The sequence below is a fragment of the Homo sapiens genome, chromosome 11, assembly GCF_000001405.40.
Source record: "Homo sapiens chromosome 11, GRCh38.p14 Primary Assembly".
In the NCBI taxonomy this organism is placed as follows: domain Eukaryota; kingdom Metazoa; phylum Chordata; class Mammalia; order Primates; family Hominidae; genus Homo; species Homo sapiens.
The window spans coordinates 89320102-89332952 of NC_000011.10; the positions used below are offsets into that span (position 1 = coordinate 89320102).

General features: G+C 34.2%; 1 protein-coding gene across 7 annotated transcripts in view; it reads right to left on the bottom strand.

Moving 5' to 3' along the window:
- Positions 1–4251: 4251 nt before the first annotated feature.
- NOX4 (NADPH oxidase 4) overlaps positions 4252–12851 on the bottom strand; it is a 265205-nt gene continuing 256605 nt past the window's right edge. For all 7 annotated transcript variants that reach the window (NM_001143837.2, NM_001300995.1, NM_001291926.2 and 4 more), the window contains 1 exon segment: positions 4252–6775. In NM_001143837.2, coding sequence (NP_001137309.2) covers positions 6655–6775 — 121 coding nt within the window. In that variant the 3' untranslated portion in view covers positions 4252–6654.

A 12851-nucleotide genomic window follows, 5' to 3' on the forward strand; every position in this document is an offset into this window, starting at 1 on the left:
TGATCTGCCCGCCTCAGCCTCCCAAAGTGCTAGGACTGCAGGCGTGAGCCACAGTGCCTGGCCTTAAAATAAATTTTAATGAAAAGAGAGAGAAAAAAAAAGATAATCTCCTGCTAATGCCTTTTGGTAAGCAGATAATTGTCATATTTAAATAAAGGTGTAATTGCACCTGGTGGGCACCCAGTTCTGCCATTAAACATGCCACACTGACTGAAGAGATTGTATTTTCCTAAACCTGTTAGTCCCTGGGAATCTAAAGAATAAACTGTGCAGCACATCTAATCACAGAGTGTAGGGTAAGTCCCAGGTCATGTTCCAACATACATGCAGTAAGGTATTTTACATTCCTTTGAGGTTCAGCTGCAGATAAAAACCTAGAAAATTTAACAGCTTTGTCTTTAGCCAATGTGTTGGCTGCAGTAAATTTTTAAGCCAGTAAGCAAAGCTCCCATTTTATGCACTGTGGATATTTCTCACCACTAAAATGAATTACATAGTCATACTAAATTGATACTAGGTTCAAGTGAATATGCTGTTATAAGTAAATATATATACTTTTATGTTACAACAGAGACAATGTGTGTATCTCAATGTCTACAATTGTTAAGAAGGTTTTCATTCCCTGGGTGAAAGGATAACGGTTGTGAAATATGACCTAGCAATGACAGAATTTTAATGCATTGTGTATGTGACTAAAGCAATGCATGGCATCCTGGCCTTCTTTATTGCTATGTATATTCGAGTATTTTGCAGTGCTGGCTCTCATCTAAGTGTCGAGGTCTTCTCTAGGTCAAATAGCAGCTCGTCAATGCTTTATTTCTTAAAGAACCTAGATGTAATTTTAATCTAAGATAAAGTTTCTTGCTAAAATTCTAATGTCAGTGAAAATGTGAAAAGTTCCCTAAAATCTAGCCAAACATCACATTCTTTCACATTCTTCCAAACCAGAGAAATAGCCAGTTTACCATGTATTTAAGCATCTTTTGAGTTATAAAAGGAAAAACATTATTACGTCCTGAAGTGTTAAATGATTTTGCTTTCTCTGACAATTTTTATTCCTCCTATGAGACATTTCTTGCCCTTCCTAGTTCCAAAATGTGAATTTTAACACTTTGCATCAGGTTGTTGGTCTCCGTTCTAAAGCAACATTAAACTTTCTGCTAATTTTTATAAAAGATCCACATGGCCTTTTTTTCTCTTATAATAAACCCCTCTTTCCTAATTAGATGTTTTCTGCTTTTTCTCTTTAGAAAACTTAGTTTAGCTAGTCTTTGCAATTCTGTCCTTTGAGAATAAAGAATATAATAGTATAGAATAGAATAAAGAGTCTTACAGAATAGAATAATAAAGTTAGCGCAATAGAGAGGAAATTTAGAAGAGAAATAACAGTGAGTTCTCATTGTCCTGAGGTGGCTGAAGTAAATGCCAATCTCATTACATTTGATTTCATTTATTTCCTGTCTCACTAGTTTACAAAATGCTGACTCTTTTCTCCTGGACAAAAAGTGAGTTATGGTCATGTGAGTAGTGAACAATAGACATTTGTTTTGACACCAGTTTTTCCTGGGTGGTTAGAAAGCTGGCGAAGTTATAATTTTCATCTATGAACTTGAATTTAAAATTATATTATTAGCATTTCCTAGAAACTACACTATTACAGATTTCTCCAATGCAAAACTCTGGAGATCACAATCCCTTTACCACAATTATCATACTTAAAAACAGGTATATGAAAATGGTTTTTAATAGGCAAAACATACAAGACTAACAAATTTAGAATAAGAAGATAGATTCGTAAGAAGAGTATAATTTTCTGAATCTGAATCTGGAATTAACACTCAGTATCATGTTTTCCACATGGCACTAAATAGGGTTTAACAGGGAGATTCAAACTCACAGCGCAAGATATTTTTATTAGATGAAGATTTCATGGGGAGGTGAAGAGCCTTTCGGTAGAAGAGATTAAAAAAACTGAACTCCAGGCTGGGCGCAGTGGCTCACGCCAGTAATTCCAGAACTTTGGAAGGCCAAGAAGGGCGGATCACAAGGTCAGGAGATGGAGACTATCCTGGCTAACACGGTGAAACCCCATCTCTACTAAAAAATAAGTACAAAAAATTAGCCGGGCGTGCTGGTGGGAGCCTGTAGTCCCAGCTACTCCGGAGGCTGAGGCAGGAGAATGGCGTGGACCTGGGAGGCGGAGCTTGCAGTGAGCCGAGATCATCGCGCCACTGCACTCCAGCCTGGGCGACACTGCGAGACTCTTCCTCAAAAAAAAAAAAGATAAATAAAAATAAATAAATAAATAAATAAATAAATAAATAAATAAATAAAAATAACTGAATTCCAGTCTCAGCTCTGCTACAAACTCAATAGATGACTTGTAGCAATTTTGGGCTTCAGTTTTCCCAATCGTAAAATAAGACTACTCTTACCTTCAGTATTTTATATTCAACAATATAACTGTATATGGAAAAAGTCCTAGCTAGCATAAGAAAAGGAAACTTCTTAAAGTGAATAGCAACTTAAAAATGTTCCCCTTGGTTTGTTTAGAAAACTCACTTTTTGGCTAGTATAACCATCCTTAAGAATCAAAACATTTTTTCTTAAAATTTCTTCTCTTTTATATAATGAGTATTCTTCATCACTAGCATTATCTGTTAATGACAACAGTCCATTTGCCTCCAGTGAATCTCTTTAACAATGGCTCATAATTTAAATCCATCACCCGCTGTGAATGCTCCAAGTAAACACTGATTTGTGGGTTTATCAATCACTTGGCTGTGTAGATTAAATTGATTCACCCTGTTCCTTGTCTACATTGCTTTTATGCTGTTGTTTTAAATGCCTATACTACCACAGTCACCCAACTGGCATTTTAACATCACTGAATGAAGAACTATCAAGCATTTCACTTTTAACTTGAAATTTTTAAAAAAGCAAATGAAGTCCCAATTGTATGTATGTATATGTATGGATTTATGTAGTATATATGTATGAGTGTGTGTGTATGAATCATAGTTTTTTAGAATTATTTATATTTAAAAATTATAGCCTTCCCTTGCATAAATCAGGTGATACAGCAAGATTAAAAACCGATGGAAAGTCCTATTGAATTCTCTGTTTGGGAACATATAAAGAGAATGCCCTTGTCCACAAAATAAATGTCTTGGTATAATCCTATAGAAATTGGTAGTTTGGGGCAGGCGTGGTGGCTCACACCTGTAATCCCAGCACTTTGAGAGGCCAAGGTGGGAGAATCACTTAAGCCCAGGAGTTTGAGACCAGCCTGGTCAACATTGTGAAACCCCTGTCTCTACTAAAAATACAAAAATTGGCTAGGTATGGTGGCGTGTGCCTGTAGTCCCAGTTACTTGGTAGGCTGAGATGGAAGGATCACCTCAGTTCAGGAGGTGGAGGTTGCAGTGAACTGAGATCATGTCACTGCATGCCAGTGTGGCTGGAAGACCCCGTCTCAGAAAAAAAAAAAAAAAAAAAAAAAAAAAGAAAAAGAAAAGAAGTGTATGAGTAGAAAGACCTATAGCAATAGCCATTTTGTTTAGAGGTTCTTAAACAGATGTGCTTCTTTCTGGAGTGTGTTTGTAGGTTCCCCAAAATTGTAGGGATGTGCTGTATGTCATGCTAAGCATTTTAATCAGATTCTCAAAAGGATACACTATCCAAAAATTAATAAAATGATACATTTTAGTCTATGTATGAGAAGTAATTTGACTTAGTTACACCATTAGCCTGTGACAACATTGATAGTTCCAGAACTCAGATTCCTAAGGCTTCTCATGCTAGTGCCAATTCCTTTTTTTTTTTTTTTTTTTTTTTTTGAGACAGAGTCTCACTCTGTTTCCAGGGCAGGGTTGGAGTGCAGTGGCGCAATCTCGGCTCACTGCAACCTCGGCCTTGCCTCCCCGGTTCAAGTGATTCTCATGCCTCAGCCTCCCGAGTAGCTGGGACTATAGGCACCCACCACCATGTCTGGCTAATTTTTGTATTTTTAGTAGAGATGGGGTTTCACCATGTTGGCCAGGTTGGTCTTCAACTCCTGACCTCAAGTGATCTACCCGCCTCGGCCTCCCAAAGTGCTGGGATTACAGGTGTGAGCCACCACGGCCGGTGCAAATGCTAATTCCTGACAAGCAGAGTGTGTTTCCTAGACTTGCATCATCTTGTGAACAAATGTTGCTGCTTTATTTGTTCCAAAGTTATAGTGAGCTTATAGAAACTTCAAGGACACCATTTCAATTTTAACATTTATTGCTACTAAAATTAGTGATTTAAGGCTTGTATTATAAGAATGATCCCCAGAGAAATAATCCCTCAAAATAAAACAAAGTTCTCTTAAACATGCAAGATGAAGCCCTGCAGAAGCAAAGATGACCTATGTTTAACATTTAACATTTGAACACCTACTGGAACTTAAATAAGCAAGGAGGCTCATCTAGAATGGCAGACCAGCTTTGAAACATCATCTTTCTTTTGAAAAATCTTCTACCTGTTTTAATGAAATTAGGTCTATTAATATGATCGCATAAATAAATTATGATCAGTATAGAGTCAGTATTGCACATTAAGCCTGGACTAACTCAAAGTGTCTTTTTACTAGTTCTTTCTGTTAAATGTTTCCATGAAAATTCTTTTTAATCTAAAGACTGTTGTCAAGACATACTAGTTATTAAATATGCCTTCAGAGCTAAATCTGCATGAGCATTCCACATTTCCTATCACTTTTTTGGGTTCATCTTCTTTCCATAGAAAGGAGAATTTCAAGGAAAGGAAGAAATATCTACAAGTAAATATCATTCAGTATGGGTTAGCATGCTTGATTGCTATTGGTGAATTATAGCAAAAAAAGGCCTTAGCATCTATCATGTTATGTTTTATGTAACATTTTAACAATGGCAAGGTAAGTCACACTGCTGATTTCAGCAGTGTTATATTTGATAGCAATTGATAGCCGACTACTAAACAAAATCACTAAACTGTATGAATGCTTTAATTCTTTTTTTTTTTTTTTTTTTTTTTTTTTGAGATGGAATCTTGCTCTGTCACCCAGGCTGGAGTGCAGTGGTGCAATCTTGGCTCACTGCAACCTCCGCCCACCGGGTTCAAGCGATTCTTTGCCTCAGTCTCCCGAGTAGTTGGGATTATAGGCACCCGCCACCACACCCGCCTAATATTTGTATTTTTAGTAGCGATGGGGTTTCACCAACTTGGTCAGGCTGGTCTTGAACTCTGACCTCGTGATCCACCTGCCTTGGCCTCCCAAAGTGCCGGGATTACAGGCGTGAGCCATGAATGCCTTAATTCTTAAGATAGTAATGGGAAATATTGTTCTGAGCCAAGAATATGATAGCCAGGGAACATAAGTTTATAAGATCACACAGTGTAGTTCCAACGGTGACTTTAAACCCAATAGTTCCCTATGGAAACTCAGGATACCAAAAAGTGCGACAGTAATATTCTGGATTCTAAACTTAAGTTTGAATAAGAATATCATATTTCCTCTTACTTAAAAGGTAAAATACAGGTTTTACTGTTCAGGAATATGACTAGACTTTCAATGTCTCCATCATAAACCAATGTGTGGCAAAGGAGATAAATCTTATATTCAGTCCCTACTGACACACATGATGTCCTTTGGTCTCAAAGTGCAAATTAACTAACTATCCTTAGAGGCTACAGCCTAAGACAAACCCTACCTGGGAAAAAAACAATAATAATAATAGAGACAAAAATGCTGAAAAAAGGGAAAAGTTATTAGTATATGTGTATATATATATATATATATATATATGTGTGTGTGTGTGTATATATATATGTGTATATACATATATATATCCATATATATATATCCCTTTATAATTTATAGTAGGAATATTTTCATTACCATGCAATAGTGATAGATTTAAATGAAGATGAAAGGGACCTATTAAATCATTATGTCTAATGCATGCTAAGGGAAGGCATATTTCCCTAGAGAGAGGAATAAAAAGAAAAAAATATATAAAAATAGATACTATAACAACATTTGAGGAAGGTTCAGTTAGCATATAGTCTTCAGATATCAAATAGAGGTATTAGCATAAGTAGTGGAGACGATTAGATATTGACACAAAGTACCCGTATCAATACAGAGTCTTGTGCTGTGTTTTCAAACATCTAATATATTTGCCTGGAGTGCTTGCAAATTAAAGCTACTCTGTTTATACACAACACAGAAAATGGAATTTCAGCTTCAATGAATTTTTAATTTTGTTCAATCTTGCATTTGTTCAACCAAAAACAATTTAAAGAGGAACACGACAATCAGCCTTAGATTGAGCAAGTTCAGCTCCTCACTAGGGAGTTCTTGAATCCACCATGAAAATCAACAGTGTGCATCTAACAGTTTTCTTTTAATTTGAGAACTGAAAAGTGAATCATCACATCAAATATTCTTCAGGGTCTCTTTGGTTTCCAGATTAAACATGTAATGTGACGGTCATCTTGCCACATTCTCACATTTCCATTTTAAATAATCATAAATAAGAAAACCTTACTATTCTTTGGCATAACACAGCTGATTGATTCCGCTGAGTTTCAAAGTCTTAGAAATTGCACTCATTCCTTCTTTAGAGTCCTGCTTCATGGCAAAAGTTTTCAGCTGAAAGACTCTTTATTGTATTCAAATCTTGTCCCATATGAGTTGTTCTGGTTACTCAGTTTATGAAGAGTCTTGGATAGTGAATTGGGTCCACAACAGAAAACACCAACTGTTTTTCTAGAACAAGAGCAGAGAAAATGGAAAATCAGGTGTAAAATTAGGCAGAACATGACAAGAAGTATGCTTTATGAGCATGGTTTAAAGTATTAACAAAGTTGATTTCTTGCTATTTTACATATTGAAAACAATTTTCTAATTATTTCCAAATGTAAATGTCAACCAGGAAAATATTTTATTTACCTCATACTTTTCATTCTAGAATTTAGGATAATTCAAAGAATGTACCTATGAGCACAAATATGCTTATTATCAGGTAGAGATTTATCAGTTTGCCTTAGTCTTTTCATGACTTGTCATTGGTGAAACCAGCAACCTCATTAAGAGCAGCAATTGATAGATGTCAATTGCTAAACAGGTGACTTCTGAATAGATGTTCAGTCCACACTGAACTATGTACATTCTTCTTTTATTAGACACTTTACACATAGTTATCTAAAATTCCTACACGGATTTGCAAAAGCAGCGATGAATAAGGAAGGAAAGAAAAAAGATATTACCAATTTGAAATAATAATTTTAAGTGGCTAATTTATATTCACAGTAAAACAAAAAACATATTCATCTAGTTCTTTTTTATTTATGCACTGCAATAATGGTAACAAATTTCAAGCAGTTTTTATTATTCTCTAATATAAAATTTTAGTAGTTAAATAATACGTATCTCTAACAAATAGACTAAATAAATCCCAGGAAATAAATAATATTTCAAATTGACCTTCTTCCCAAGTTTGATTTGTATTTGATTCTTCCTAGGATGTCAAAATTATTAATATTTCATCTCATATCTTGGGAAAATCCAGTATGTCTTAATTATGTCAGAATAACTCGCACTGAACAAAAGACATTGAATCCATTAAAATTGGTACCAAAAATTAATAGTAAATACTGAAAAAAAGTTATTAAAACTTTTTACCTTGAAAAATGAAACTAAAAGCTGTGAAAATAGAATTTTACTTGCAGCCATGATGGGGTAATAGGGAGTAGATCTACCCTTTTACATTAAAAATCTAGAAAAAAAGCAAACAAAATAGATGAAATAAGTATTTTCGGACACTGAATAATAGGTAGCATGGAACTATGATCCCTGAGAAAAGGGAAGAAAACAAGCTAAGCACCGTCACTCTCTTTGCTTATTGCCTGGAGGCAATCTGCTGGCTGCAGCAGACAGGGGAAACTCCAGCAAAGATTGGTGACTACACTGAGGAGACAAAGAACGGAGTTACATTAAGGCCCAAACAGCTGGAATTTGTGGAGCAGAATATGGAAGGGAAGGGAGATCCACAGAAAGACGCCTCGGAGATTGGTAGAGGAGAATCCTCAAGTCTTTGATTAATAATCAGTTCATATATGATAAGAAACTTCATGAATGTGAGTAAAGAGATATCAGAGATCAACAGGACAAATAATTGCCAGAGTTTACACAGGACTGCAAATAATTTGTATTCACACACACCAGAATAGAAAGTCCTATAAATACAGGGCAATGGGTTGTATTCTCAGAAACGTATCACCTTATTTGCAAGGAGTAGAGGGGATATTGGTAAAATTAGCCTTGGACTGAAGGCTGCTCTGGACCTCCACTAACAAATCTTAAAAGTGAGACTTGTAAAGATCAAACTGAACCCGAGTAACTTAACTGCATGTCAGAACAAGTCCAACACTATTAAAATAAATAAATCAAAATTTGGCAACTAACATTTAAACTTTAAAATGTACAGAAATCAACAAAAAAGTACCAGGAATTCAAAAAGCAAGAAAGTATGAACTATAACTAAGAGTGTTATGGGCTGAAGTCTGCCCATCCAAAGCCCGTAGGTTGAAGTTCTAATCCTCAGTGCTTCAGGATGTGACTGCATTTGGAGATAAGGCTTTAAAGGAGGCAATTTAAGTTAAAATGAAGGTACTAGGGTAGGCCCTAATCCAATCTGAATGGTGTACTTATAAGAAGTAATTTGAACACAAAAAGAGACACCAGGGAAGTGCATGCACAGAGAAAAAGCCACCTGAAGAGGCATCAAGAACATAGCCATCTGCAAGTCAAGGAGAGAGATCTCAGGAAACCAGTCCTGCCTGCATTTTGACCTTAAACTTCCAGCCCCCAGAACTATGAAAAAATAAATTGCTGTTGTTTAATCCACCAGTCTGTGGTATATTGCTATGGTAGCCCTAGCAAACTAATACAAGGAGAAAGGGCATTCAACAGAAACAGGCTCAGAATGATAGAGATGACAGACGTGGTCATTGAAGCAGTGATGATACACAGGCTTCATATATTTAAAGAAAAGCATAATCATGATGAGATGATAAATGGAATATTTTTTAAGGCCCAAACATAAATTCTAGAGATGGAATGCAATATTTGAAATGATAAATATACTAGATGAGTTAATAAAAGAACAGGCATTGCTGAAGAAAAAGTAAACTTGAAGAAAAAGCATTAGAAATTATCCAAATTGAAGCCCACAGAGAAAAAAACTGAAAAAAAAAAAAAAAAAAAGAACAGAGCATAAGTGGCCTGTGGGACAATACCAACTAGTCAAAACAACTAGTCAAAAATACATGTAACTGCAGTCCAACATGAGAGAAGACCAAGGGAGAAGAAAAAAAAAAAATAAAAGATCTCATTAAATCTCAAGGAGAATAAACACAAAGGAAACTATACCTAGGCAATTGATAATAAAATACTAAAAACGAGTGACAAAAAGAAAAACATAAAACCAAACAGACTGGGAGAAAAGACACATTACAAATCATCAACAGAAAATATAAGAATGAAATATAAGAATGAAAGTGAACTTTTTGTCATAAACTATGCAAGTCAGAAGGCAATGAAGTGATATCTTCAAAGTACTAAAATATAAATCAAGACATCAACTATTATATAACAAGCAAATTTGATGCCAAACAAAAATATTTTTTCAGAAATGAAGATGGAATAAAAACTGTATACAAACAAAACCTGAAAGAATTGTCAGCAAACCAGCACTATAAAGGACACTAAAGAAAACTACTCAAGAAGTAGGAAAATAAAATTAGATAGAAATTTGAATCAACCAAAGGAAAGAAGGACACCAAAATAGTAAAATCTGTCAGTAAATATAAAATATTTATTTTGTCTAATTTCTAATATTTTTAATATATGCTAGATGTCTAAAACAAAAAATACTAATAATGAGAACTATAACATATGTATATGTAAGATGAATGCAAAAATAGCAAAACGGATGGAAGAAATGGAAGTACATGAAGTGTTACAATATTATTCAAAGTACCAGCCTGGCCAACAGAGTGAGATCCCATTCCTACAAAAAATTTTAAAAATTAGCTAAGCATGGTGGTATGCAACTGTAGTTCCAGCTACTCAGGAAACTGAGGTGGGAAGAGCTCTTGAGCCCAGGAATTCAAGGTTGCAGTGAGTCTAGATCATGTCACTGCACTCTGGCCTGAGCAACAGAGCAATACTCTGTCTCTAAAAAATAAACATAAACATAAACATAAAAAATAAAATAGGCTGTGATAAGCTAATGATGTATACTGTAAACTTAGAACAATGTTTCTTTAATTTTGGCTTCATCAGAATCATTTTAGAGACTTCATAGAACACAAATAGCTAGGTCTCCCCATCCCTAGTTTCTGATTTGGCAGATCTTGGATAGGGCTCAAGAATTTGCTTTTCTAACAAGATTCCAATTGATGCTGGTCCAAGGAATCCAGTTCAGGAACCAACAACCTAAAGCAATTACTAAAAAGAAAAAAAAAAAAAAATACAGAGGCATGGCTAACATTAGAGAAAAAAGTGGAATTATAAAAAAAAATTCAACCCAAATCAAGGTAAAAAAAGAAAATAAAACAAAGAAAGAACAAATAGATAAGTACAAAGCAATGGTGAACTGCTAGATTTAAAGCCAACTGTATTTTCATTAAATTAAATGTAAATGATTTAAACACTGAAAATAAAAAGCTTCAACATAAAGCAAACACTGATGGAACTGTAAAGACAGATAAATTCATAATTATAGTTAATTATTTCAATACTCTGAGTAATTAATACAAGCAGACAGAAATTCAGTAAGCATATTGAAAACTTGAACATCACTATCAACCTATTGGAACTAATTGGCATTTGTAGAATGTTCTATCTAACAATAATGGAATACAAATTCTTTTTAAGTGCATATGGAACATTCACCAAGATTGAACATATCCTGGGCAATAAAACAGGTGTCAATACATTTTAAGGGATTAGAATCACAAGGAGTTCATTTTTAGATCAAATCCCAATTGAACTAGAAATTAAGAACAAAAAGATATCTGGAAAATTTCCTCATTTTTGGAAATTAGACAACATTTTAAAATAACCCATGGGTCAAAGAAAAAACATAAAAAATAAAAAATATTTGAACGAGATGAAAATGAAAACAAATCAAAATGTATAAGTTTTAGCAAAAGTGGTGTTTAGAGGAAAATGTATAGCATTAAACACTTTTATTAAGAAAAACAGTCTGAAATCAATGACCTATGTTTCCATTTTAAGAAACTAGTAAAAATTAAAAAAAGCTAATTAAACCCAAAGTGAGCAAAAGAAATAAAAATATATGAAAATAAATGATGTTATACTTAATAAAATTTAAATTACTATTGAAACATAATGTAGCTTCCATTAAAATGAAAAGAGAATTGAGTCATTTTATTTCTTTGTATAAACTTTCTGTCAACGCCATATGATGGCAATAAGATACCATTATTTTCTTGCTTGGCTTTGACAGGGCAATTATAGAGTTAGTTTGGCAAGTCTTTCAGATTTCCTAAAGGCCCTTGTTAAATACTTGATAATAAAATCAAGTATTAATTATAAAATAAATAATAATAAAAATCATTATTTTTAAATCACACAGGATGTTATGATTTTTGTGTTTCTTTAACATTTTCTTTTGCAATTATTAACTAGCTTAACTCTCTGATATCCTCTCCGTGTGTGTGCGATTTGAGGATTCCCTAATGTCACTCTCACTAACTTAATGAAATCTTACTTTTTTTTTTTTCTTTTTCGAATTCTACAAGGAATCTTTGCAATTCATTTGTACTAAATTTGCATTAGAATGCTGCAATCCAACAATTATCTGGAGACCTGTCTACTAGACCTTTGATGGAATGAGTGGAGGTAGATTCGGGTACTAAGAAAATGTGGTTTGGGGGTAGACATTAGAAACTAGTTCTATAAATGTTCATACTTGCTTTTTCATGTAGATTTGTAAACGCAGGATCTTACATAATGAGAACTTAATCACCCCGGAGAGCTTATTCACTCGTTGTATTACAGATCCAGGAGAAGTCACTTGACTCAGGGTCACAGGAGTAAATGTGAGAGACTAAACCTAGTTATTCTTAAATTGTATTGTTTGAAAACACTACAAGGCAGTAAAATAAAGATATAATCTCAAAGATTTCACCCAATCCCAGAGTAGTAATTCTCTACTCAAAAAGCCAAACAAAGTTCAAATTTTCTTTCTCTCTTTGCATCATGAATAAACTTCACAGCTCAAAACAGGATATACATTTTAATTACAAACAATAGGAAACCAAGTTTGGGTTAGATATAATAAATAATTTTCTAATAGTTTATTAAATACTAAATGGTTTACAATGTAATATTTAGAATATCTCTATTTCAAAATAATTAGTTATTAATTCTTTTAGTGTTACAGTTAACATTCTGCTACAGCATTCATAGTAAACATGGGAATTTCTTGCAGCACCTCCCTACCTCCCATCTAAGGGGAACATGGTAAAATAAGATTGCCACTCTTTATCTGTGACAAGCTGACTATGCCCTGCTGTAAAGCACAATGAACTTGCAGTCAGGAGACTTGTGTTCATATCTGCATTCTGGCTCATTAACCATGGCTTTTGATAAATCATTATATTTTGAGGTCCTAGCTTCTTCATTTGTAAAATAAAAATGAAGGCAGGTTGACTCCCAAAGCTCCTTCACTTTCCATGATCATATAATACCATCATATAATTCAATTTCTGAATTTAAAAAAAGCAACAAAAGAAAGGAATGACTGTCACAC